General features: G+C 47.9%; 2 protein-coding genes across 8 annotated transcripts in view, besides 2 other annotated features; one reads left to right on the forward strand and one right to left on the reverse strand.

Annotated features, from left to right (window-relative positions):
• Nucleotides 1-303, forward strand: part of CFAP100 (cilia and flagella associated protein 100) — a 41,648-nt gene extending 41,345 nt beyond the window's left edge. Inside the window, exon 17 of the mRNA NM_182628.3 lies at nt 38-303. Coding sequence (NP_872434.2) covers nt 38-151 — 114 coding nt within the window. The 3' untranslated portion in view covers nt 152-303. The remainder of the gene's footprint in view (nt 1-37) is intronic.
• A 1,044-nt stretch (nt 304-1,347) lies between these two features.
• Nucleotides 1,348-27,393, reverse strand: part of ZXDC (ZXD family zinc finger C) — a 38,291-nt gene continuing 12,245 nt past the window's right edge. For 2 of the 7 annotated variants that reach the window (XM_011513119.3, NM_025112.5), the window contains 5 exons: nt 25,282-25,967; nt 23,400-23,484; nt 5,512-5,693; nt 3,379-3,474; nt 1,348-2,208 (listed from right to left, as the gene is read on the reverse strand). In XM_011513119.3, the coding sequence (XP_011511421.1) occupies nt 2,122-2,208; nt 3,379-3,474; nt 5,512-5,693; nt 23,400-23,484; nt 25,282-25,967 (1,136 nt within the window). In that variant the 3' untranslated portion in view covers nt 1,348-2,121. Of the gene's footprint in view, nt 2,209-3,378; nt 3,475-5,511; nt 5,694-22,647; nt 25,968-27,393 lie in introns of those variants that run through there. The other 5 variants (NR_104249.2, XM_006713741.3, XM_005247757.4 and 2 more) reach the window with 5 other exon arrangements.
• Nucleotides 4,990-5,625: an enhancer, noted in NCBI's record as "H3K4me1 hESC enhancer chr3:126160086-126160721 (GRCh37/hg19 assembly coordinates)". NCBI's record gives its function as "activates a minimal SCP1, AML or CMV promoter by ChIP-STARR-seq in primed H9 embryonic stem cells {active_cell/tissue: H9 hESC(primed)}" and the evidence as "EXISTENCE:reporter gene assay evidence [ECO:0000049][PMID:30033119]".
• Nucleotides 12,075-13,014: an enhancer, noted in NCBI's record as "H3K4me1 hESC enhancer chr3:126167171-126168110 (GRCh37/hg19 assembly coordinates)". NCBI's record gives its function as "activates a minimal SCP1, AML or CMV promoter by ChIP-STARR-seq in primed H9 embryonic stem cells {active_cell/tissue: H9 hESC(primed)}" and the evidence as "EXISTENCE:reporter gene assay evidence [ECO:0000049][PMID:30033119]".

The raw sequence follows: 27,393 nt of genomic DNA on the forward strand, positions 1-27,393 counted from the left end.
TAGGCAGCAAGGCTCACTGGGCTTGTTTCCCCTGCAGAGAGGCAGGACACTGGTATGCCGCTCACGACCCCCAGCCCACAGGATCAAACAACAGTCTGAGCACACACTGATGGACAAGGAGGAGGAGGAGCTGCTATTTTTCTTTACTTAATCTTCGCAGACCATAGCTGTTCTGGCTGAAGGCTTAGCAAAGATGTTGGCAGAGGAAGCAGAGACTGGGCTGGGTCTCGAGTGGCCCAACTGAGTCCTCTCTGTCTCCTGTGTGCTCCCTTCCTCACCTGAATAAATTCATGTCTCTCTGGAGTCTTGAAGGCCTGCTTAAGGATGCAGCCACCATTGCCAAATCTCAGCACCCCGCCGGTTCATCATTTAACCCTAAGCAGATGCTTGAGGGCAAGAGCATGACACCTTGGTTCCCATCTAAAACAGCTGCTCTGCGAGACAAAAGCTAATTCCACGCTGAGTGTAGTGTGAGATCAGCCTCTGTGCAAAGACCAAAGAAATACAAGCAGGCAGCTAGGTATATGGCAGGGCCAGCACTACCAACTAAAGGAGAAACAATGGGCTGAATGCCATATATGTAGCTACTTGAATTAAGCCAAGGTGAAAAACCTTCGGTGCATGACTATAAGAAAACTTTCATTCATTTGCACTAGGAGTTAGGCCCATCACCGGCAGGGAACCTTGGTGCCCAGAACACTGGGTGCCAGTCCCAGTCACTTCACGGTGACGTTCCCAGGGAGGCACATGGGAGAAAAATAGAGGCCGAGAGGGCATTCCTGGGGGAAGACTCTCCTCCCCATGGAGATGGGGTGGGTGCGGCTCCACCCGCCATGGTGGCCAAAAGCCTCCCATGGAGGGAGGAGGACTCCGGGCCACCTTGGGGCTAAAGAGCCTGCCAGGTGGGCAAGTTCTCCCCTCGCCTTTAGTTGGTGACAGAGCGCCGGTCTGTGGAGAAGACCCATTTGTCGACGAGGTGTGGATTCTTCCACGTGGAACAGCACCTGGGGACAGCACCTCAGAGTGAGACAAGACAGAGGGAGGACTCACTCAAACTTGATGTCACCCCCAAATTCAAGAAACAAACACAGGGCAGAGTTTGAATGATTCAGTCTGAGAATCAAAACAGCCTCTGAATGAACACATACTTCAAAAGGCACAAGGCAAAAAAAAAAAAAAAAGTCATTTAGGAGTGACCCTGTGTCATTGCTAAGTTGACAGACTTACAAATAAACATGGGCAAGGTGATCACCTTGTCTCCTTTTACAAGACAGACCTCACTCGGTAAAAATATACACTGACGTATTATGTGCACATCAACCTCAATAATAAAACATACACGCGCCATCACAGTCCTACACATAATTTATGGTATTCAGAACATCACTTTATAAACTGTTGCCAAATTACCACTTAAACACTAATATCCAAATACAGAATTTAGAAAATTATTTTAAATTTTAACTCTACCATCCCCCCGAGCTCTCGGCTATGAATTTAGTCTGGGAAGAGGGCTCCGTAATAGGCCACTGAGGTCCTCTGTCCCACCACATCATCCTCCCCCGAAAACTAGCTGCCCGACTGCTCTACCAGACTTGGGCTAGAATTTGGCTTCACGGTGGCAATGGGACCACCTGGGCCCTACAGTGTGGCAAAATCAACTTGCCCACAAACCCCATCCCAGGTGCTGGGATGCTAACACACTGAAGCTGAAAGACCACACTTGGTTTTGCCACAGATCAAGCTGCATCTGACTAGACAGCCTGTTCTCTACCCTATTTCCTGCAGAAGTCTTTTTCTTTGTAATGCAACAAGTGCTACACAGCTCAGATCCAACGGGACACGGGGAAAGAGGCTGTAGTGCACCTAGCCCTGCTGAGGGAGACCCTTGCCTTGCCAAAGCACTTTGCTCACAAAGGCAGTTTCAAAGAGTATAGCCCGAACTCATTCCTGGTAAAACAAAAGGAAAACATTTTTGATAAATGTACCCAAAAGTCTCAAAAGGGCTACGCTGGTCTTCTGAACGGAAACCAAATGAGGTCTCCCCAGGCTCATGTCATGAGTCTCAGGGAAGGTGTGTCCTAGACCGTGGCCTTGGGCCTGCCCAGGCCGAGGCTGCCGTCACTGCAGATCCTGCAGGTTGATAGTGCTTCCTGGGAACTGGGTGGCCTCCGGTCCAGCAGGGCCTCCAGATGAGGGGAGCACCTCCTGCAAAACCAAGCATTGTCATGAAGAGGGAGGAGGGAGGGGAGGCAGAGGGATCCTGTGGCTCCACACAGCAGGACACTGACCAGGCCCGTGGTGAGATACCTGACTTCTCTTACTCAAAACTACAGGCTCCCCTTATTCTAAACACATGTTCTTTGATGAAAAATGAACTCAATACTGTACTGTAAATTTTTCAAGATTGTTCTGTCTGCACATTGACGTATACCCTCACATGTTCATATACCCATATGCCTTTTTACAGAAACAAAATCATCTTTACTTCTGCAACCCTTTCTCCGCACTTCTCACGCGGTGAGCACTCTCCCAGGTATTAGGTGTCCGTCCGCCTGTGCCCTCACAGCTGACCAGGATGTGGCCCAGGGCTATGGAGGCCCCATCTAGCCTGTCTCCTCCTGCTACAAGAAGTGTTCCTGCTGTTGCACCATTTGACTCCGGGCTACGGTGATTATGTCACTACCTTATTTTTTCAGGAGCAGTCCCAGGAGGGGGCTGCCAGGCAGGATGGAGCAGACACTTCTGAAGTTCTCTGATCCATGCTGCCAAACCGCCCTCCAGCTCACCCCTCTGCAGCCTGGGTGCCCGGCCCTCTGCTCCCACCAGTGCTTCTGTCCAAGTTTGGTTTTGATTGCGAGGGAAATGCTGAATAGCCCAATTTGAATGCAAAAAAACTAAAACACAATTTGCATGGCTTATTGTAAATATATAAACACGTAAGGCAAACTGTTAGAAATGTGATAAGCTATACGCTTTCGCTATTTCATATCAAACTCTGAATCATTCACTGCCACCCATCCTTAGCTTAACCACGTAAGCAAACTACTGAATTCATCCGAGTCTATTCTCCCACAGGCTGGGCCCTGGCCAGCCCTCTTCCCAGAGAATTAACTGGAATTCCTAGGCACAACACTTTCAAGAGCATATTAACTTCTCCTGCTTTGTCTACCAGCAGGAGCTGCAGCGTCCTGCAGATCTGAGCTCCACTCACCCACCTTCTCCAGAAGGCAGCAAGACATCCTGGCAACCAACCCACTGAGCCTCCCAAGCCACGCGGCCTCAGTGACCAGCCTGCAGCTGTGAAGCCAGGCTTCTGGAAGTCGAAGGCTCTGCGAGTCTCAATAAGAAAAACAAAGGGCAGTAAGGCATCCAGACCTGGAGGACGTAGACGGGCAGGTCCACAGTGAGGAAGGGGAGGAAGGTGGCTGGGCCGCGGGCCGAGGGCAGGACACCTTCGCCGGAGGGGTCATCCTGGGAAGGCAACACAGAAAGGCCTGTCACATGTCTGTGAGAGTGCAGCAAAGGTCCTCGTCTCACCTGAGAAGTCTCCTCCAGCTGCAATGCGTGGCAGAACCAGCCCACCCCCTGTATTCCAAGGGAGGCCCGAGGACCCAGCAGGAATTGTTTATGGGGGCTGGGTACTACCTGTTCCCACCTGGTTCTCATTCTGTCACCTTGATCCCAGCAGCTTTTGCTGGGCCTGGAACCTTCTGCTCTCCAGCTCCTCCCCTCAGTCAGCCCAAATACTGATTTCCCTCCTAAGGCACGCTCCTCAACTCCTTGCAGGTGCCCTGGCACGCCCTGTACCCCCACCAACCTTGTGTACCCAGAGTGCTCTCCAGCAAATCCTCGGGCCCCACAGAGGGCCTTCCCTGCATGCCCCAGCTTGCCTACGGGCCAGCTGGAAGGACCAGGGCAGGTAGAGGGGCTCCTGAGAGGGGAGGCTGCCAGGCCCCTCACAGTCCAGGCTAGAAACTTCATCTGTCCCACACTTCGCCTGTCCTGCACCTGCATGTCCGCCCATGGCCATTCACACCCCGAAGCGGAGCTCCTGGTGCTGCTGCTCTGCACCTCTCATTCCTTCTGTTTGAGAAGCTCCTGTGTGTCAAGGTCTGCACTACTGTTCCCATTTCATAGATGACAAAACTGAGGCCCGGAGTGCTTAAGTAACCAAGACTACGCTAGCTGGTAAGGGACAGAAAAAGAACTCAAACCCAGGTTTAATCAGGCATCTCTTAAAAGTATACCCCCTACTTGCTCCTGTTCTGCCGGTGGCACCAGCTTCCCTACCGTCTCCCTATTGCCAAGCCTCTGGTCCTGACTCTGTACCTCTGCCCTGCCAGCTGAGGCAGTGTTTCCTTGGATGGTCCTCCCCCTCCCCCTGCCCCTGCTCCTGGGGAGTTCTTACCTCTTCAGAAGCTGGAAACAAAGGACCAGTGCTCCTGCCCCTCTCTAAGACAAGCTTCAGCCCCCATCTGACGCTCACCGCTAGCTTCCAACCAGCACAGGGCCACCCCCAGCTGCCCGCAGCCTCTTCCCTGCCCCCTTCCCAGCCCACCTCTGCCCAGGCTGCCCCTCCTCTTGCCTCTCTGAGCCCCAGGCCTGGTCCTGTTTCCTTGGCGAGACTCTCCCAGGACTCTGAACCCACAAACGTGCCTGTTTCCCAACTCAGAGCCAGCGTCACCTCCACCCTCCGCACTTCCGTGGGGCCTGCAACCGCATCCCCTGCCACAGGGAATCTACAAAGTGGAGTGGTGAAGAGGGGCACACACCTGGGCCAAACCCAGACAGCCCCGGCTTGTATATCTCTTCTCTCCCCAAATCCTTCCAAATCATCTTCCCTCCCCATTCCAGCCCCTCAAACTGAGACTGAAGATGCAGGTGTGCTCAGGGCTGCTGAAGCAGGTGTGCTCAAAGACCTCCTGGAAACTGGCCACAGCTGCAGGTATCTGTGGCCCGGACAGGCTGGGAGGGGCCTGGGCCTGCCCTGGAGGGGCTCTGTTTCGTAGGAAAGAAAATAGAAAAACACTGAAAAGACCCCCACCACCTTCAGCATAGAAAGGCTGCTAGTGCGCCACAAGCAGGCCGCCCTAGAAATGGGGTGGCTGAGACGGCCTGCGGAGCCCTTTTGCCCCAGCCCTGCAGAAGAAGGGCAGGGTGGCCTCAAACAGATCTCATCCTGCTGCAAAACAGCCCTGGGGGCCTCGGGCAGGGAGGCGGGCTACTCTGGGGCTAGACGCAGGGCTGTGCACAGACAGGTTCAGGAAGTGGATGCACGGTCCCAGCAACACTCAGAGCTTGAGCAGATGCAGGACAGGCTGGGAAAAAGGGAGGAGCTGGGCTGTGAGGAGACAGGACTTGGGGCAGTCTACAGGGGAGGATGCACGAGGGGCAGGCAGGCAGGGGGTGCTGCGATGGGCAGGGGATGCAGCATGCCGCACACTGCTCAGACCTGCGTGACCCTCCCACCCCGCCTACAGCTGGCCTGTGTGACTGGCCAGCTCTCACCTGCACCAGCTGGACCTGGACGCCCTGCGCCCCGCACTGCACCCCAGCTGCTGGAGCTGGTCCTGGCCGTCCTCCGCTGGGCACCACGAGGCTCCCACACAACCAACTGTTCTGGCTTGCATGGAAATGGGGAGGACTCATTTTGCCTTCTTTTATTTTTCTCTGAGTAGACTGTGAGGCTCCTAAAATGAAATATAAAAACGAGCACACCCAATCTACAATCTACCAGTCAGGTCTGCCCTTACCAAGGTCTCACTATGGGGAAGACAGCCTTCCCATTAATTGTCATTCTGCACAGCTAAGAGACGTAAAATCACTTAACAGAAAAAATCAAGAGTTAAGAGGTTGAAACAAACAACCATACGAACAAAAAAACATCAGGATTTTGATTTTAAAAATGTAAAAACATCATACGTATTTTTTTGCCAGACGGTACGGTAATCAGACACAAGCTGCAAATTCTTGGAGAGCAGAATCCTCTAACTCCAGCAGCTGCTGGCTGGCAGGAATCCCAAGCGCAACTGAGGACAGCCAACAGCCCAGAGCCACAGCATCATGGAATAGGAAGGAAGCGGGCGGTCTCCATACCCCACCTGTGGGTGGACTGCTGCCTCTGTCCAGCTCCTTTCCAAGTCACTACTCCATGGGTTTTACAAATATGTGCTTCTTAAGAAATGAAGTAAAGCACAAAGAAAAAAGAAAAAATCTTAACACCCATAACAAACCCAAGAGCTGCTTCAAAAGGGCCCAAAGGTAGCCTAGAGCGTGCACTGCAGAGACCCCGGCTAGGCTCACCCTGACCCGCCACCCACTCTGCTCCAGGGATCTGGAAAAGGAACTCAAGCTCTGGGCCTCAGCATTATCTACCTGTAAAATGGGAATGCTAGTCCCAACCTCGGAAGGTTTTGGAGAGGATTTCATAGGAAATATGTGATCAAAACTTAGAACAGTGACTGGCGAGTGCCAAGGAGTTTAGGCACTGTCACTGCTCTGCCCACACATCCCTGCCTGGATGTGTGGGATCCAGCTATGAACGGCTTCAAAAAAACAACTGTACAATGACTATCATATAAGTTATTCCTAATAAAAGTATTCAATTGGGTGACCCTGCTGCCCAAGGCAGGCTGTTTTTACGAGGCTGTTTGACAGGAAGGTTCTGAGCAGCCCATGGGGTGAGAGCTGACTTGCCCTGCATATGCTGTCTCCCTGACCTGCTCACCTCACTCCAGATCCCTTCCTGTCTTCCGCAGTGCCCTGGGTCCCGGAGAGCTTCACACTCAGCAGGCAAGCCAACTGGGTGCACAAACCTTGGGTCCTCTGTACTTAGGCACAGCCTGCTGTCTTTTCTGGGTGCCTCAGGGCTCTTTTTCTTTGAAGTGCAAATGCTAACCAGGAGGTTTCTGGGTAACACAGATTCAGTTCCCCCTCACTGCAGGGAGATGCACTTCCATTACAAAATACTTCCTTTCTGTTCATCCATCAGTGTTCCAGAAAACCCAGCAACCCTCGCTCTGGATCATCTCTGACTGTTCTCCACGCCTGGTTTCTCTTTTTCTAATTGCTCTACTTGCTTCAGACAGAAGAGCAGGGCTGGGTCTGGGGCAAGAGAGGTGCCTGGGGCACAAAACTTACTCACCCCTCCTTGAGGAAACTTCACATCAGTTCCTAGTACTGCAGTCTATTAAGTCTGCAATAACATTATGTCTAAAACAATGCATACCTTAATTTAAAAATACTTTATTGCTAACAAATACCGACATAGACATGAAGTGAGAACATGCTGTTGGAAAAATGGTGCCAACAGACTTGCTGGATACAGGTTTGCCACAAACCTTCAATTTGTAAAAAGCAAAAAAAAAGTCAACTGCAAAAAATGAAGCGTGCCTATATCCTCCGTGAGCTTGTATACTATCCCACTTACCTCCAGAATTTTACCTGAATGCATTTCTATGCTTTCAAGTCTTTTATCACCCTAGCATATAAAAATATGTACATAAACTTAACTTTTATTTAACTTCTAGGCATTAACATTTTTGGTTTGAACTGTTACAACTGCAATTATTAGTAATGCAAAACAAATCAAAACAAAATATATCAGAAACTTTGATAGATAATTATGATATTAAAAGCAAAATTATATTAAAAATGCTTTTCAAGAGGAGTGGGACTGACTGGTGGTTTTCTTCCCCAGTTAGTTCATGTATTTGTGTCTAAATATTACTTCTTGCTAGAATTAGACATGGTCAGCATCTATTCTTGTCAATTAAAAACTTTTTTAAAATAAGATGCTCATGTGTCATCACAACTTTGCAGCTGCAGGTTGAGTTTATTCAAGTGAGGGGGAACTGCCTGCCCACGAAGCCCCAGCAGCAGGGCCGGTGCTGCAGCCAGAACAGTCGCATTACGCTTGCTTTCTAATAAAAGGCCTGGCTTCATTTTTAAATTCAAATAAAAATACTGAAACATGTTATTATATTAGAAATATTGGCCGGGCGCAGTGGCTCACGCCTGTAATCCCAGCGCTTTGGGAGGCCAAGGCGGGCAGATTACAAGGTCAGGAGATCGAGACCATCCTGGCTAACACGGTGAAACCTCGTCTCTACTAAAAATACAAAAAATTAGCCAGTGGTGGTGGCGGGTGCCTGTAGTCCCAGCTACTCGGGAGGCTGAGGCAGGAGAATGGCATGAACCCAGGAGGCAGAGCTTGCAGTGAGCCGAGATCATGCCACTGCACTCCAGCCTGGGTGACAGAGCGAGACTCCCTCTCAAAAAAAAAAAATAATAATAATATGAAAACCACTGTAGAATAAATTAAGGCAGGCAGTGAATAGTGTATCTCTCCAGATTTCTTTTAAAAGCAGGCAAGATTTTAAATGATGTATATCAAGTATTTATTATCAAGTTTTATAACATAAACAAGATAAAACTGAGCCATTCATCATGATTCAATGCCAAATGTGTACGCCACGCTCTAAGTTACCTACAAAGCAAGAAATATGACTGAATCCTAATATTCCTTTGCAAAATGTGTGCTAGAATGTATGTGCCATTCGAATCATGGGAAAATCAGAATTGGGTGCAAAATCAGAAATAATTCCACTAATGTTGCTAGACATGGTTACACTTTCCTTTTATACCTAAACCAGTAACTAAAATGATTCTATCTTTATTAACAATTTACTTGTATTACTTTTACAACAGGAAAAAAGATAGGCTGTAACGAGAATATCTCATGACAAGCTAAATTGGTTTCAACTTCTGTATCAGCATACAATATGAAAAAAAATCACAGGAATTTCTTTTCAATCCGCACATTTAATTCAGTGTCTCAGGTAGTCCTGTAGACACCAGTTACACTGAGAAGAAACACCACCACTAATTTGCATCAGAAGGTATTTTTCTTCCCAGCTAACAACTCGTCTAGGGATAAAAAGTCAATAGCTGAAAAGAATTGCTCACGCTTATACATACATAGGGCTCATTCCTGAAAAGTAATACATTCTTTGACAACAGCAGAGGGCTGGCAAAGGTGAGGACTTTCTACGAGAGATGTCCATCCATGCCCCACATCCCCTCTCTGATGTACCTCAAGCAGAACATCTCAGCGTCCACCCCTAGACACATCTCTGCACAGGAAGGGTAAGCTGGCAAGCCCGGCTCATTAAAGTTTTAATGTCGGTATTATTCTACAGGATGCTTCCCTGAAACCAGTATTTGGAACTGCCCCTGGGTTTGGTGCTCTGGAAGGATATCCTGTTTTTGTGTGCACTCCAAGGCAACACACTGCAGTAGAAGTCTGGTGGAGAGTTGCAGCCTCCCCGTTTTTTGGCAAGCAGAAGGACAGCTGTGGGTGAGGGGGAGAACCTGCCACAGATGAGCTCGGACACCCCTTCTCAGAGAGTCCGTTCCAGCAAGGACTGCACCTGGAAGATGAACCTGGAAAGGATGCAGGGGTCCAGGCCAACAGCTGTGAGAGAACAGGGCAGCCAGGGGAGGAGGGGCCAAGCCCCAGTTGCTGAGTTGTCCCCCAGGCCTGAGCAGGGTGTTCTGTCCTAGAATCCCTGACGGTACACCCTGAAGTCTGGTGGTATGTCGTGAACATTTAAGATGGCTGAAAGTTAATCATAAACTTCCTGGGTTAACTAAGCAAGTATGTTTATCTAGGGATGCTTAAGGACATGCCAAAGCAAACAAATGGGGTCCACACCACGTCCTCACGATAACCATGAAGCCCTGGGTCCTCACTAGTAAAGGGCGCCATGGCATCAAATGCAATATGATCAATTTAATTAATAAAGCAGTCACAAGAAAAATCAAATTCCTCTCTCACAATGGACAACCACAAACCCTTATAGAACAAGGTAACAACACCGAACTACATTTTGCTTCAATATTTTCAATCATTATCCAAAATGCTTGCTTGTGCTGGAGAATCTGCAGGAGTGGGGAGAGGAGCAGTATAAATCCAACACCAAGCAACCTCCTGGGAAGCAAGGAAGGACTCCTTAAGGAAGAGTCCTATCTAGGTATGATGGTAAATAGCAAAGTGGTCAAGGGCCCCGGCTTGGGAGCTGGACGATCCAGCTATGTGACTCAGCTCCCATCATCTGCGGTGAATGGAGATGGCCACACTGCTTTCACCTCACCGTGCCATGACGAGAATTAGGTGAGGTCAACAGCACTGGGCCTGGCTCAAACAGCATGCCATCCCCACACCAGTAGCACCGCAGTGCCTGCCACAGGACAGAGTTCAGAGCCAGCCAGGTGCCCCGAGAAAGGATCTGCACAGATGAGGCTCAGGCCCCTCCCTTGATAACCACAGGGGGTCATGCGAGCTTCCTCTACTGAGATCCTCACTTGAACAGGAGGTAAGTGACTATTTTCCCAATTCTCCCAAGGGTGGAAGATCAGAGGTCACTGGGGCTTAACTCACTAGGTCCCTGACATGGTTAGTTCAACACAGCTCTTATAAAGATATAATATGTTAATATACTTATCCACAAGGAAAAATATTCATATTAAGAACAAAAAGCAGATAAAAATGTTTATCATTTTTCAAAAACAAGTCATTTGTGTAGGTTTCAGATTTCACATTTGTGTAGGTTTCATTCAGTTTAACACTGAAACACTGTAAGTAGTTTTTCTTGGGTGGTGAAGCTACAGGGGAGAAAGCATAAGGAACCCACAATGATCTCTTCCAGAGTAAACCCACATGACCAGCCCTGCCTGTGCTGAGTGCTCACCCTTTGCTTAGGGATGTGCTGCTCACACGACAGGTCCTTTGTTCTGCAGGGGCACTCTCTCCTCCAGGGCATCTGGCAGGCCCTGAGTACCCGACTGCCTCCTCCCATCTCACAGCCTTCATGGGTATTCTCACCAAGCTACCTTCCCAGATGAACTTAAAGTAGACAGGTGTTTAAGTTACTCTGGGATTTTACAGGAACTGAATAAAGTATGTAAGTGAACAAGAATTGGGCATCTCTAGCTGGCAGACCCTACACAGGACCTTACCCATTCAGAGCACACTTGTCATGAGTGAGCCTGGCATATTTTATTACTTTTACTGTCATTATGAATAAGGTCAGTTTTTCACAATTATTCTTATTGGAAAATCTATTAATTTTATATATACAAATATGTACTGTGCAATTAGCTATCTATTGATCCTTCTTATTTCTAATTGCTTGAGTTGATTCCCCTGGGTTTTCTAAGCCTGACAATGACTTTGTCATTAAGTAATCATCATTCTCTCCTTTCTATTTGATTCTGCTTCTTTAAAAATAGAGACTTCCATAAAAGTGTCAAATAGATTGCGCCAATGGTTTGGTTTACCATTCCTCCAGCTTTGGGGGGATGCCAACATCTCTCCACTGAAAATGCCACTGACAGCTGGCTGCTCTCTAGTATTAGGGAAATCTGGGTTCCTAGTTGATTCATATTTGTGATGTTTTCAAATCAGTAGCAGGTGATGAATGTCATCAACTGCCCTGTTCGGCCTCTGTGGACCCTGCACGTCTCTTGCGGCATTTGCTGTGGCAAATCATGCTGACAGGCTGCCTCGCCCCACATCACCCTCGCCCGCTGTCCATGTGCTGGTATTTCACTTGGGATTCCCATGCCTGCTTCACCTGCTGGAGGTGAGACACAGTGTTCCTGCATACCACGTGGCCAACAGGCTCAGTAACAGCTCTGAGGGCAGCCGGCCTTGGGTTCAATCCTGCCGCTGCCCCTGCCCCTACCAGCTATGCAGCCCTGGCTGAACTCTTCCTGCCTCAGCTTTCTCATCCAGAAAGGTGGGGACACGAGGACCTACACCTCACAGGATTGTTGCGAGGACTAATGGGGTAATAGATGTAGATGTGCTGGGCTTAGAACTGTGCAGGGCACACCGTATGTCTTCAATAGTTATCACACCTTTGTCAAGTTTTAGAACCAGGGTATGTTAGCTTTATACATTAAATTATTAGCTTTTATTTGAGGTCTGCGCAAGTTTCATCACCCATTCAACAAGTATGTACTGTATCTTCACCACATGGCAGGTGCTCGGCCAGATGGTGGCCCTGCACATGGAGCTTACAGCTGCTGGCTGGTGCGCTCAGTACAGCCGTGCATTTTGCAGCACACAGACAAACCCACAATAGATGAGCAACAAGGGGTGAGAAAGTACAGGGTACCCTGGGAGCCTCGAGAGGCCACTGACAGGACCCCAAAGTGTCTGTGACACAGACACCACCCTTGAGGAGCTAATCACAGAGGGGACCCTGCCTAGAACACTCTGGGCATTCCACACAGGCATCCCGGGCAGGCACCAGGGCATGGCACGGCCATGCACTAAGAAGCAAGCACCAGAGACCAGCACGTCGTGGGGCTGCCACCCCTAGGGCTGGAGGGACTAGGGAAGGTGTGGCGTCACCAGAGTCCAGAACAGGGACAGCGTATAGCAGAACTACAGCAGGGGCCACCCAGGAAGAACTGGGGCCACAGCCATGAGGGTAGACGGCCATCGCCATGAAACTCCCACGGAAGCAGAGCAAGTGAGGCCCTGCCTCGCTCCACACACCCTCTAATCTCCCCCTAATGTTCCCACTGCCAAACCTGGCTGGAAGCGCTGAGAGGAGCCTGGGTCAGTGTCTCCAAGAATGCGAGTCAGACAGCAACGGCCAGCATCCACACGGCAGGAGGTGCAGGAACTGCCTGGGGAGACGGGACGGGGCAGCACGCAGGCAGGGCAGGTCCACAGGCACGGCACATAGCACAGGGTATGGCATAGGGCAGCCAAGGCCAGCTCCGGAGGCCTCAGAAGAGTAAATGTAGCAGGACCCCATCCTAGAGGTCAGCAGCTCTGAAACCACATACACACAAAGCCCTGCCACTCTTTCTCTTACTTTGTTCTGACAAAATGTTGAATGTACAGAAGAAGATGTAATGAACAAAATATATGTTTAAAACTATTACCAAAGCTTTTACCTTTTTTTATTAAGAAATAAGGTCTCACTATGTTGCCCAGGCTGGACTTTAATTCCTGGGCTCAAGTGATCCTCCCGCCTCGGCCTCTCGAGTACCTGGAACTACAGGTGTGTGCCACCATGCCCAGCGTCTCTGAATCTTTTAGTCAGCCCTGGGCTAAGTATTTTGCAAAAACCCCTGTAGGTCCTCACAACCACCCTACAAAGCCAGGTCCCATCACTTTCCCCATTTCACAGAAGGGGATGCTAAAGCCAGAGGCTAGGCAACCTGCCCCAGGCTGCTGCAGGTGGAGCCACACCTCACCTGGCGGTCCTGACCCTACGACTGATGCTTTGAATGTCTCAGCAGGTTGGCTCTACAAATCATCGCTCTGGCTGTGTGTGGCAAAGTCAATTCCATTTCTTTGTTAAATAGAAGTTTCCTCCTCCCAAAGGCTGGAGACCTGCCACTGACGGCCAGGAGTCAAGGGACTTTCCACTGGGCTGCCAAGGCCGACCTTCACCCTCAATCACCTGACGGCAACATAGGGACGACCGAAAGGGGACACAGAATGAACTGGACCTGCAGAGGCCAGGTGTCTGCCATGCAGACTGAAAGGGAGCCGGGGCTGTGTGCTCCATGCAGGAAAGCAGAGTAAGAAACAAGAAAGGCGTCAAAGTTAACACAAACCAAAGTGACAGCAGGACGCTCTGTGGAGAAGGACCATGGCGCTCACTCATGCAGGTGCGGGAAACTCGGCTCACAGCCCATTCTCCAGCACTGGGGTCACACCCACTTCTGCAGCAGGAAGTTCACTGCCACCAAGCACCTTTCTACCTTTCCCTGAGACAGTCATCAAAACCAAAGCTTTACTCACAGGACTAAAGGAGCCCAGGCCCCTCTAGGAAGTGATGTCCAGAGTCTGCAAGGGGTCTGAGACCCTCACAGGAAGTGTACAACAGGAAAGGCCCCTCCACAGCTGCTCACAGGCAACTGCACCTTGCTCACCCTTTACCTGCCAGGGCTCCAACCTTGGATGCGTAAGGGTCAGTGGTGTGGAGGGAGCCACGAGGGACTGCTGGGCAAAATTCTCCTGCCCCTAAAGAAAACACAAGAGCAGACAGCTCCCACTTCGGCAAGTCTGCAATCTGCTTTCCTCCCCGGCTTAGAGATCCACGCACCCTCCCCTGTTAGAGGCCACATCTGCCCCAGGGGTGTACACGGGGCCCACAGGGTATGACAAAGCCCCTGCATCCTCAAAGATGCCCTCATCCAAATCCAAACCCACCTGGGCACCTCATGACACATGTGGCACAGGAGCCACATGCATGTGACTAGAAATCTCTTCCAGAACGAGGAATAAATGGGGGTGCACCTCCGGACTGACCGCCCCTGCTGACCCAGGGCCCCTACCCGCATCTCCCTTCCTGCTGCTCTCCCTGGAGGGTGGTCCCTTCTGCTTTCATCATGGCAGCAACAGGAAGAAAGGGGAGAAAACTTGGACCAGGTGTGCAAAGATTTTTGTTTTAAAGTGAAACAGATTATAAAAATTACATCACTGACTTAATTTCAAGGCTCCATCCAACCTGATCACCCATTGGAACACTCCAGTGTGTGTGTGCCTGAGCTGCAGTGCCAGCACAGCCACCTCACCCTCTGCCCATAGGGGCCCACTCCCTAGGCTGGGACCAGCAAGCCAGGGCGACACCAGGCTCAGGGGGTCCCGGGGTGGCCACAACAGTGCTCCAGCCACAGGGAGGTAGGCACACACTTAACCTGCCTCATCACTCTAGCTCTCGTCCCCACTGTCCCATGGAAAGGAAAGGGACTCAAGGCCACTCCTCATCACCACCTGAGTCCCTCAGGCCCACCAGGCCACCCCAGGAGGAACAGTGCTCTATTGCTCACCATTTTGATGGTAGCTCCATCTTCATGTTTTAATTACACAAAGTATTTTCCAATAGAAAAAGTAGAAATGATCATAATAAAACATTCACAATCTTAACACTCAGGAAAACACCACTTCATGCATGCATATGTGTACTACTGCTTGTTTCCAGGTAAATGTACACAAAAATTTGTCTCTCAACACACCCACTTTTTCTTACAAATATGAACTTACTGAAAACATGCACAGAGTGTACAGTTCTTCTGGACATTTGAGTTACAAATATTATAAACAGTCCCGCACTGAGCAGCAGCAGCATGTGCAGCTTCACACAGATCCCTGGGATTTCCTTGAGATAAATTCAAAAAATGTAATTGTAAGACTGAATATTATGCATATTTTTTGGCTCCTGAACACATTACCAAATGACCCTCCAAAAACATCACAGAGTGTCCCCAGTGAAGCTCTCCTGAGAAAGCACAAGGACGCGCTGTGTGCACCAAGGCCGGCACTGGGCTCCTGTCACCTGGGAAGGCCTAGCCGACCTGGCCCTCAGTCAGATCTACCAATGTCCTTGTGAGCACCAACCGGCTGTGTCTCGCTCGTTGCCATCCTCCTCATGACCTTCTGCACCATGATCTCACGCTGTTACTGGTGATCTGGAAAGCTCTCTGTGCGGACGTGTCTCTGTGGCTGTGCCTCTGCTGATACACTCTGGGAAATGATTTAACCTTGGGGCCTCAGTGGCACCCGTGCAGGAAGGGTTGATGGCAGGTCTCCACCTCATAGGGTTTTTGTGAGGCGTGAACAGAGTTACTGCATGTGAAGGACACACGACAAAAAGAACAAGGGCAGGCTGCCCCCACAGCTCTTCATGCCTTAGAAAAACCTTTAACCTCTCATCTTCATTCTTTATTCTGTATGGAATTCTAATATTTTTTTTTCCCTAAAAGGCCAGCATTCACCTGTCAATAACTGGAAATGCCATCTTTTCCACACGCAAAGATGACCAGGTCCCAGGTCGGTGCCCAGTGCGCTGGATCCTGGGCTCCTGGCTCTGCCACGCAGCCCCAGCACCAGAACATGCTTTCAGCTGCCACAGCCTTGCGTGAAGTCTTAGCTACAGTGCAAATCCTCTATGTCATTTTCCGTTTTCTTAGACGTTCTTGTCCATAGCTTCTTACACAATTGTCCTGGAACCTGCTTGGACTTCTGCATGAAATCGCACTACAATGCTGTGGGAAGAGTGAGAGGCTTCTCTTTCCTTCATCCCACGTCTGTCAGCCAAGCCTGTGGGCTCTGCCATCGAGACAGGTGCAGGAGCCGAGCACTCCTCCCCACTGCTGTTGCCACTCTCGTTCCTAACAGGTGAGCACACAGGCTTCCAACTGCTCTCCCTGAAACCTCCCATCCATTTTGTAAATCAAATACAGGATTTGTTGAGAGAATAATAAAGTTATTCACCGATCTATTATTGAGATAATGCAATTAACAGATTTCGTAACATTAAATCATTCTCAAGCTATCTGATTAAGCTCCATTTGGTCAGAATAGTACATTAAATATATATATTGCCAGATCCTAAGTGTGTTTTATTTAGAACATTTCCATCTATCTTCGTAAGAGTCACCAATCTGCAGTTTTTCTTTTTTTTTTTTTTGAGACAAGGGTCTTACTGTCACCCAGGCTAGAGTGCAGTGGCAGATCCTAGCTCACGACAACCTCCATCTCCTGGGCTCAAGCGATTCTTCCGCCTCAGTCTCCCCAGTAATTGGGACCACAGGTGTGCACCACCACGCGTGGCTAATTATTATTTTTTTTACAGATGGGGGTCTTACCACGTTGCCCAGGCTGGTCTTGAACTCCTGGCCTCAAGCAATACTCCCACCTCAGCCTCCCACAGTGCTGGGATTACAGCTCTCTTTCTGAGAGATACCCTTGTCAGATTTTTCATGGGAAGCTTCTGTTTTCCACAGAGCTTTGGAGCAGCATTTACTGCACAAATTCCACAAAGGGGGAGAACTGAGGAACTATTCATATTCTTATTTCTGAATGATTACTTGTTTTCCTAGAAAACTCTGCATTTTGTTGCAAGTATTCTAACTTATTATCATACAGTTAACATGATATCTGTTTATCTCTAGGTATTCCAAAGAATTTGTGGAATTTACTTAATGCTTTTTTTAATTGCTCAGACAGAAAAGGAAAATGAGGGCCTAGGGGCCATATCCCCTTAAGGATATGTTTTCTTTGGCCCATACCAAAAGTTTTTCTAAATCTGAATAAGCTGTCACATTTAAGCATCAAAATCTGGATTTGACTCTGTTCTGATAGGAAGACATCTGAGGCACAAACTTGCATTTAGTTTTGGCTACATCCCTTGTGTTCCATATACAGTAATACATAATAGTTGGCTTACACATCAAGTGTTTCTAAGACCCTCACATGTAATCCACAAGAATCCCAAGTGCAGCGTGCTTCTATTACCATTTCACAAAGGAGAAAGCTGAACGTGCAGGGAAGTCACTGGCTCAAGAGCTCAAACTTATAAACACATGGCCTATCCATTTTCCTGTATTTGTAATTAGCTTTTATTTTTTTTCTTTTTTTTTGGCGAAGGAGTTTCGCTCTTGTTGCCCAGGCTGCAGTGCAATGGTGCGATCTTGGCTCACTGCAACCTCTGCCTCCCGGGTTCAAGCGATTCTCCTGCCTCAGCCTCCTGAGTAGCTGAGCTGGGATTACAGGCATGAGCCACCGCGCCCAGCCTCGCTTTTATTTCTTCTTTCACCTGATTGTCTAGAGGTTTTGTTTTCCAAGTAATTTTTACTAATTTAACATATTATGATCAGAAAACATAGTACTGCCTATACATGTATATATATATGTGTACATATAGGCATATATATATATAAGCAGTACTATATATTATGTATATATATAGGTAGTACTACACATATATATATATATTTTTTTTTTTGGTAAAGACTTTTGTATAGTTTTCCTGATGCCCTAATTTGTTCCATTTAATTTCTATAAATATTCAAAGGACATGGAATAGGATCTGTTAAATCAACTTTATTAATCCCATTTTAAATATCTTTCATATGCTTATTTTTCTGCTTGATCAGCAAATAATGAACTAATCACTTTCAAACTGCTAGTTTCTATACATTCAATTATCTGAGATTTCTATTGGCTTTTACATTGTTTGATATTATACGTTTTCAAATAAATATTCATATAAATGTCTATAGGTCTTATAGTTCTGTTGTAGGCTACACATGAACAGCAACCAAAAAGAGGAAAAATCTTCTTTGTCCCCATGCTTTTTCCTTGAATTCTGCACTTTTCATATTAACATTAGCCCTTGCTTTGTGATTTGCCTTTGCTTTATTTTACCCTGTCTTAATCTTAACCTTCCCAAATATTTCCATACAGGGTGCACCTCTCCTAGACAACACACAGCGGAGAGTGTGCTTCCCATGTATTCAATCTTCGTCTCTTGAAAGGAGAGGTGCCCTCATTACACTTCACTGTGACACAGGATACCCTTGGTTTTCTGTCACAATGTGTCTTGCTGCTGTCTCCTCTGATAAGCACCACACTTTCTTTCCCTTCTCTGCCCTTAGACAGCAGAAAGGTATACATACCCATTTATAGTTCTGAAGCTGTTCACGTTTTTAAGCTTAACTTTGCTATTCATTTCAAGAATAAAACTTGACATTTTTACACTGAGAGAAAAATTCTTGTTTTATTCTAAGGGGAGAATCTCAATACTCAAGATAAAGAAATTCACACATTTTATTTTCTACACTCAACAGCAACACAATGGGAAGAGTCTTGGATTTCAAATGCTATTGCTCAGACTGTACATTTCCTAAGAACTGACGTGTGCACTGGCTCCTAACCACATGCACAACAGCGAAGTCTTGACTGTTTCTAAATGACCCGATTCCATTAACAGTCCTGTTACACTGCAACTGCTGTTCTTGGACTTATTACAGGTCCATAGTCTCTCAATCACAAATGTTGAAACCAAAAAATCCCAAACCCAATTTTTTTTCCCTAAACTTAATGCCAAAAGTAATTTAGCAACATAACTGACCTGAACTGATGTAAAGCTATTTACAGTCTCATTTGATCCCACTTAGATATATTTTGCTGAAAAGTACCAATGTAGTAACTAGTGGTATTAATAATATATGTACCATATTATCTAAAATTTGAAATAGCCTGAATCCAAAGCACAGCGTGGGTTAACATACATAAATACTAGCACTGACCACTGAAACCCTAGTATAACAAAACCCCAGTAACAATAAGTCCACCGAGTGTCTGCATGTTGGATTCTATATACCATCCTCTAACAAAAGAAACCAGGGCTCTCTGGAGGAGGAGTCGATTCCAGGGCAGGGACAGGGATAATACAAGAGCCTGGTGGTGCTAGGAAGGAAGGAAGTGCTCAAAACAAAAAGCCAGGATGGAGAATGTTGATGGGGCACAAGAATCCAACTGAAGGATTGGCCACAGCTGGAAGAACTGGAGCAACAAAATAAATGGTGATAATATTGATCATAATCCAATACTGACTACAGCCCAAAGAATCAATATCGTTGAGGCCGGGCATGGTGGCTCACGCCTGTAATCCCAGCACTTTGGGAGGCCGAGGCGGGCGGATCACAAGGTCAGGAGATGGAGACCATCCTGGCTAATACGGTGAAACCCCCGTCTCTACTAAAAATACAAAAAAAAAAAATTAGCTGGGCACGGCAGCGCCTGTAGTCCCAGCTACTCGGGAGGCTGAGGCAGGAGAATGGCGTGAACCTGGGAGGCGGAGCTTGCAGTGAGCCGAGATCGCGCCACTGCTCTCCAGCCGGGGCGACAGAGCAAGACTCCATCTCAAAAAAAAACAAAAAAAAAAGAATCAGTATCATTGAATCCATACTGCGAATAAGTAAATGAGGGAGAAGAGACAGCTCTTCCTTATAAAATTAATAAGTACACAAGAATAAGGGAAATGGAAAATCACCATTAAACCCCACAGGCAAAAAGCCCCTGCTGAGTGTTACATGAGAGGAAAGCTTAAAGAGAAACAGGGCACTTGCAGTGCAAGGCAAAGGGTTAACCCTGCCAGAGAGGCCTCGCCTCTGCCCCCAGCTCCTGGGAGATCTCTAGACCCTTGGAAAGTCCTGCCTGGTAAGAATGTCTGTCTAACTGGGTGCCCTGGGCCACTTCCACAGTCTGTGCTAACCCTGTGGTGGAGGCCTCGGGCACACAGCGCCAGCTCAGCCTCTGGAGGGCTGGAGACTAAGGCCAGCCAATCCACACAACTGAGACCCAACAAAACTCCAGACAGTGAGTCTCAGGTGGGCTTCCCTGGGGGGCAATGGTCTCTGGGTGCTGTCACATGCTGGGAGAAGTTGGCACTGTTCACACCTCCATGAGAGGACACTTGAAGCGTCACACTAGGAACTCTCATGGGCCCTGCCTTGCCTGGGCCCCTTTTCCCTCAGCTGGCTTTAATCTGTGTCCTTTTGCTGCAATAAGCCTTAGCCGTGAGTACAACAGCTATCAGTGAGCTCCATGAGTCCTTCTAGAGAATTACCTAAGGGTGGTCTTGAGGACCCCCAAGCTTGCAGTTGCTATTAGAAGTGAAGGTGGTCTTAGGGACCCCCAAGCCCCACATACAGTCTCAAAGCATCTACTGCAAGATAGTTAATTACAAAGGGAAAAACAAGAAGTTGATGGTGAAGAAACCTAGCAGCTACCACCCTAACCAGTGATCCAGGTTACCACATCTGCCGTGTGGACAGCATGGCCCAGGGAGGATGTGTGGGGAGGGCACCTCACCCCCGTCTCCAGCAACCCAGCCCGGGTCTCATCTCCAGAAGACATCAGGCAGGCCCACAGGGAGGACGGTCCAGAGCGATAGGCCCATCCTCTTTGAAAGCATCATGACAAGGGAGGGCCAAGGCCCTCAACCAGACCAGAGGAGACGGGGAGGGGTGACAATTAAATGCACATGGAACCTGGAACAGGGAAGGGCACTGGGGGAGTCTGGTCACATTCACATCAAGTCTGCCATTCAGCTGCCAGGACTGCGGCCACAGGGGACTCTCAGCTGTGATAAATGCAGCATGAGTATGCAGGATGCTGCTTTGAGGGGAGGCGGGCAAAGGCATCCCCGCCAGAGGATGCAACACTGTGACAAGACACACAGAGGAGCGCTGTGCAGGAATATGTGTCTAAAACCACAGCAGACCCATGGGCGCGGGAAGACACCAGTGCCCTGCATGTTTTGGAAAAGAGACGGTGGCCTTCCTGCACTGGCTGAGGCACCTGGAGGGGCTTTTCAAGGATGTGGGTGGCACTGACAGCAGCCTCACCCTCACGAGGACATTCTCCTGCTGCACTCACACACGGAGACCTAGCAGGTACCAGGTTTCCATTTCCCTTAGAAGTGTATGAAGTATTTAAACCAATGAGTGCATTAAAATACTCTGACCATCACTGCAGGATGCTAAGAAACTCACACAGATTCAAACATCATGAACTGCACCTCAGGGTAAAAAAACGAGAAGCTGCGCTTTATAGACATGTCCCAGCTATAAGTAAGAAAGGAATGACAGATTTAGAGTACCACCGTTTAGAGTAACCCCTAAGAAATGAGTGGATCCAGTATCTGGTCACAATGGTTGCCACCAGAGGCTGGGGGTCTCCTGCAAGAGCCCACTCCCACCTGCAGCGGAGTTTTACCAACCAACCAGATCTAACCACTAAACGTAACTACTAATTTTCAGGAAAAGAAAAAAAACGAAGGAACCTATTAAAACAGTGATGTGATCATTAAGGTCCAGACTGGCACACTCGAAAGAACAATCAGTTTCTTCAACAAAAACCAGGCAAGACCTAGCAGAGAACCCTACAGCTGTCAAACAGTCAAGAGATGATGTATCAACCAGTAGTGACATATGAACCCCACTGGATTCTGATTCCAACAGACAGTTACATAAAATATTTGAGGCATCTGGGACAACTGAAAATTTGAACATTTGCTAGATACTGACATTAAGAAAATACTGTTAATTTTTAAAGAAGTGGCAACATTAGATGGCTATAATTTTTTTTAATGTCCTTACTTTTTTTTTTTTTTTTTGAAATGGAGTCTCACTCTGTCACCCAGGCTGGAGCACAGTGGCACAATCTCGGCTCACTGCAACCTCTGCCTCCTGGGTTCAAGCGATTCTCCTGCCTCAGCCTCCCAAGTAGCTAGGATTACAGACACGTGCCACCACGCCTGGCTAATTTTTTTGTGTTTTAGTAGAAACAGTGTTTCACCATGTTGGCCAGGCTGGTCTCGAACTCCTGACCTCAGGTGATCCACCCACCTCGGCCTCCCAAAGTGCTGGGATTACAGGTATGAGCCACCGCACCTGGCCAATGTCCTTACTTTTTAAAGATAATGCTGAAATATTTACAAAAACAGTAATGAAAACATCAAACCTCCTTTATAGATAGTACTCCAAAGCAATGTAATAAATAGGACACGTGTTATATACTTGAATGTTTGTCTCTTTTTTCTTCAAGATTATCTACCAGGTTCAATAAAGGCATCCGCTTTCCTTCATGAACTTTCCTTGGTATATGGTCAACTCTTTCTACAAATTTCACCACCACACTTCCTTCTATTATCTCTGCAAGTTCCATTCTGGTACTTTGTGAACTGTTGAGGTGTCCCTTCCTAAGTCACAATTCACACTGATGCATACACTATAGTGAAACACTGGCTTTAAGAAAACTGATTAACAGAAAACCGGCAATTGTTATTTATTTTAAATAAGAAGTCATAATACTATTAGGAATAGAGAGCAAGATATAAAATCATATCAACCCTTTTAGATAAATACAAAGGACAAATGAAATACACAAAAAACAATATATTTTAAAAATCCACTGTTAGTTTTTAGAAAAAGATTTAGCAGTTTCCATTAAGCACTACATCCCACTATTCCATTTTTAGGAAGGACAGATGCTTGAGGCCATAGGTTACCAGCTCTTGTTTGGTCTTTAAAAATGCAAGTAAGTTGCTAACATTTTCAAATAAGATTTCAACATAACTCTGACAATGCCACAGGACACACAGTTTGGCTCCATGTACACGTACCTGGGGACAGTGGCAGTCCCCAGGTCTCTGCCATGCCAAGATCAGGCCCCAAGGCCATTCAGCACCAGGCACAATCTCTGCTTTCCTGACAACTGGCCTGCTTTGCTTATTTACCTTAGTAGCCTTCCAGGTAACTGACACTGGTGTTTGAACGCTTAACTTTCACAAAGCTTGTTTAGGCAAATAAAATATGTTCATACTGATGCTGGGAATTTTGTTACTAATTTTTTCCCTTAAGTTCAAATAAAACTAAGGAGTTGATAAAAGGGTATTCTGAACAGAAAAGTAAAACCAAGAGCACAGAAACACCTGCTGTGTTTCTTCTGCCAGTAACAGTGACAGAGAACCCTCAGGCCCTTGCTCGTCCGGCTGCAGCACACACGGCCTCACCTGCATTGCTCCCCGCTCCTCTCTGCTTTTTTTCCTTGGCTAGTTGAATGGCTCGGTAATCAGTTCTTGCTGAGCCCCCACTTTCCTGAGACCAAAGAAAAGCATGTCAGTCACTTATCTAGACACAAAGGAAGGGTAGCAAGGGAGCTACAGAAGTGCCATAAGCCTGCTTCTGGGACATATCCGAGCTCCCAAAACCAGAGTCACCAGCAAGGCACACAAAGGGCCAAACGCTACATCCACTTGTGGCGAGGGCCGAACAAACTTGGAGCTGGAACAATGTATGTGACTTTCTTATCCAGAGAAGCAAAGTTCATTCCTTCATAGTCTAAAACATAGCCAAATATTTTAAACAGAAACTTTTAAAATCAATTACATACTTCTCTGCTTTCTGAAACAAACACCGAGCCTTGCCTGGGTAACCCAGGGTCACCTTACCGCGACACTTTTCACGCTGTTTCACACACGTGCATGGCAGGCCCGGGGCAGGTCCCACCTTAGAGACCCACTGTACAGGCTGCTCTGGTGGCAGGGGCTATACTTTGTCAAAGTCTTACACAAAAATAATAATGATGGTACTGAATTCAGGAACTTGCCTGAGGGAGTCAGACAGTACTCAGAGGACATCAGCTGTTGCAAGTCTGTGAACGTTTCCTAAGAAAGACAGTTTAACACTTATCGCTATGAAGAGAAAAAGAGCAGCCCTCAAAGCTCGTAGCATACCTGGGACCCATTCACCACACACCATTTGTACTCAGAGAAGCGAGGTAGCCCAACGTCACACAGCTAGCAAGAAAATGAACACGGGGTTAAGACCAAGGTCTTGCTGGCTTCTCTACCTCCACCCACAGCTGCAGCTGCACCAGGGAGCTTCCATTTCCCAAGGCACCGAGGCACACAGTCCTGGCACCAGGGACTGACTGAGCACTTGTCTCTGACCTGTGGCCACCTCCCATCCCTGCCCAGTCACCTGTACACTTAGCAACTACTATGGCCGCCTAAGCAAATGCCGGCAAGCATGGCTCTGCCACCGACAAGCAAGACACCAGAAATGCAGAGACAGAGACTGTCCTCCTCTCTGACTGAAAGAAATGAAAGGTGGCTCCATGGAGCCTCAGCTACTATGTGCCTCACAACTGATCCTACTGCAAAAGATGTAACATTTTTTAAAAGTTGTGGTAAAATAAGATGTAACATTCTCAACAATATAAATGTCACCATCAAATTTAGCCTGTGCCACAAAAAAAATCCCTATCTGATCATTCCCATCTAGGTCAGGAAAGTCAGACTATCTCCTAAGAATCTTTAAATTATTTTAAATTAAATTATATTAAATGTATAATTGATATAAAGTATATTAACTGTCCAGCCTCAAAACTGGGGAAGTACTCTTATAATCCTCCAAGAACTAAGGCTCATAAACCCCACCCTTTTTTTTTTTCTTGTTAATTCTAATTTTAAAAAAGAGTTTGGTATGGTTTTAAAGTTTCCATTGAACCTCTGAAGGTGGCTTATGTCTCGACTCCTCTTCTAGGACTGGTCATGAGCTGACAAGCATAGAGGCAAAGTATCTCAACATTACAAAACCCCCAATCTTCAAGGAAAGGAGCACATTACCATGGAGCCACAGGACTCCAAAGGACCTCAGAAAGCATTTAGCCAAATCTCCTTATGCAGGAAATAAATGAGAATTTAAGGCTCAGATGGGTTAAGGTGATTTGTCAAGGTCATAAGAACTTGTCAGTTCCAGACTTGTAGTCCAGGGCTGCGTCCTTTTGTAAACCAGAAACGTCTGCATAGAAAGGATTAATCCAGAATATCCTCAAGACCGAGTATGAGAGAAGTGACCTATATGGTGGTGACTGAATAGAGTGCTTCATACCAAATAGAAGTTGCCAGTGCCTGCACTGAGCTCTGTGTCCTGGGCACCGTGCTGCTCTGCTGGACTGGGCAACGTGGACTGGGGCAGCCCATGGCTTCCTTCCTGCTGCCCAACTGCTCCTGGGCGAGAAGGCGAGTCCGGCTCCACCTTGATTGGAGCCAGCAGTTCCGGGACACTGGCATTTTCTCGGGGGGTGCTCGAAGAGGTCGGTGTGGTGATATGTGCTGCTAAGTTACTATTGGAGGTCAAAGCCAGTGGGTCGTCACTCAAGTTCTTCATGGGCAGAGCCACCAGACAGCCTAATGCTCCTGCACTCACAGTCTGCACGTCATCCACACTGAAGCTGCCCTGCTGCAGAACCGTGGCTGCTGTCCCGAGAACCAGAGGGCTGTCCAGGCTTGGGGGAATATCACTGTGGGCCACCAGGACCAGGGGTTCCATCGGCCCTAGGGAGCTATTATTAGCAGGGAGGTTCCCTCCCAGAGAGGAGCTCACAGAAGTGACGTCAATAGTCAGGATTCCGGAGTTCAGAGCCTCATCCGACCCACCTGCAGAACCACTAGCATTGGCAGGTGTGTCAGAGAAGAGTGCAGCAAGATCCATGTTAGTGAGCTCACTTTGGCCTGGGCTGCTGAGTTCACTGCTGGGAGTAAGAGAACTCGGAGCTTCTAGCTGAGGTAAGAGATCTGAAAAAAAAAGGAATACACTCTGGTTACTTTATGACCTTGAAGACTGAGTACTTTTGTTTATGCCCATGATGTTACCGAGTGATGCCCCAAGGAAGCACTGACTGTCCTCTTCCCACACCCTGAAGCTTGGTTATCACGACAGAGTCCCATGGCCGGTCGCTCAGGGCAACCGACACACACCCCAGGAAGGGACAGGAAGGGACACTGGCTGAAATCAGACACTTTACGTACGCGTCTTGGATCCTCAGGCTGACAGGGCTTTCTCCAGGGGAAACAACTGGAGAGAGATTAAATAACATTTCCTAAGGTCAGGCCAACTGGTAACAGCAAGAAGCAAAGTAAGACTTGCATCCATGTCTTTCTGGCTTCAAAGCCTGCACCCTCTCCCCTCTAGGTGCCACCGGAGCTGCCCGAGAGGACTGAACCTTTCCACTCAGCTGCCAGTTGCTAGCTGGCCTGTGCTCTGAGGATATTTTCCGAATCAGCTTGTCAGCTCATGTTTGCCAAACTCTGTGCTCCACTCCACAACTAGCTGCCACCCCAAAACCGACTGGAGCCATATAGGGGTGAACAAAGGAAATAAAACTGGCTGCCTGGCAAAGCCAGGACAGACCCAAAGCTTCAGCTCTAGGCAGATGCACAAGACTTCCAGGCATGCTGGGGGCCCCCTAGACGGAGCTTTTCCTGATGGGCTTTCCCTCCCACAGCCTCCCCTACCACTGCATCTCCAGCCTCACATTTCCCCAGCAGGACTGCAAGCCTCCTGAGGGTGGAGAGCCATCTGACCACCACTGTCCCCTCAGCCCCCAGCACAGTGCCCAGCCCTGATGCAGCATGTAATTATTATTATTATTATTTTTTTTGAGAGGGAGTCTCGCTCTGTCGCCCAGGCTGGAGTGCAGTGGCGCGATCTCGGCTCACTGCAAGCTCCGCCTCCCGGGTTCACCCCGTTCTCTTGCCTCAGCTCCCCGAGTAACTGGGACTACAGGCACCCGCCACTATGCCCGGCTAATTTTTTTGTGTTTTTAGTAGAGACGGGGTTTCACCGCATTAGCCAGGATGGTCTCGATCTCCTGACCTCGTGATCGGCCCGCCTGGGCCTCCCAAAGTGCTGGGATTACAGGTATGAGCCACCACGCCTGCAGCATGTCATGATTCTAACAGGCCCTTCTTCATCTGGAGTCTTAATTTCTGGTCATAATACTCTTTAAATATTTGATTATTTGTTATTCAACTACGTAATTTAAATAATCAGCATACTTTTGGGGGAATAATGACTTCCAAAAAATTTTAATGCATAGGCAAGTTTAGGGTTTGTATACAAGTACATGCCAATTACACCAAATCACAGGATGCTTCAAGCATCAAGCAAACAGTAAAATGGGAGCATAATTAATTTGGGCAAAAGAGCCAAATAAGGACT

This window comes from Homo sapiens, chromosome 3 (genome assembly GCF_000001405.40).
Source record: "Homo sapiens chromosome 3, GRCh38.p14 Primary Assembly".
Lineage (NCBI taxonomy): Eukaryota > Metazoa > Chordata > Mammalia > Primates > Hominidae > Homo > Homo sapiens.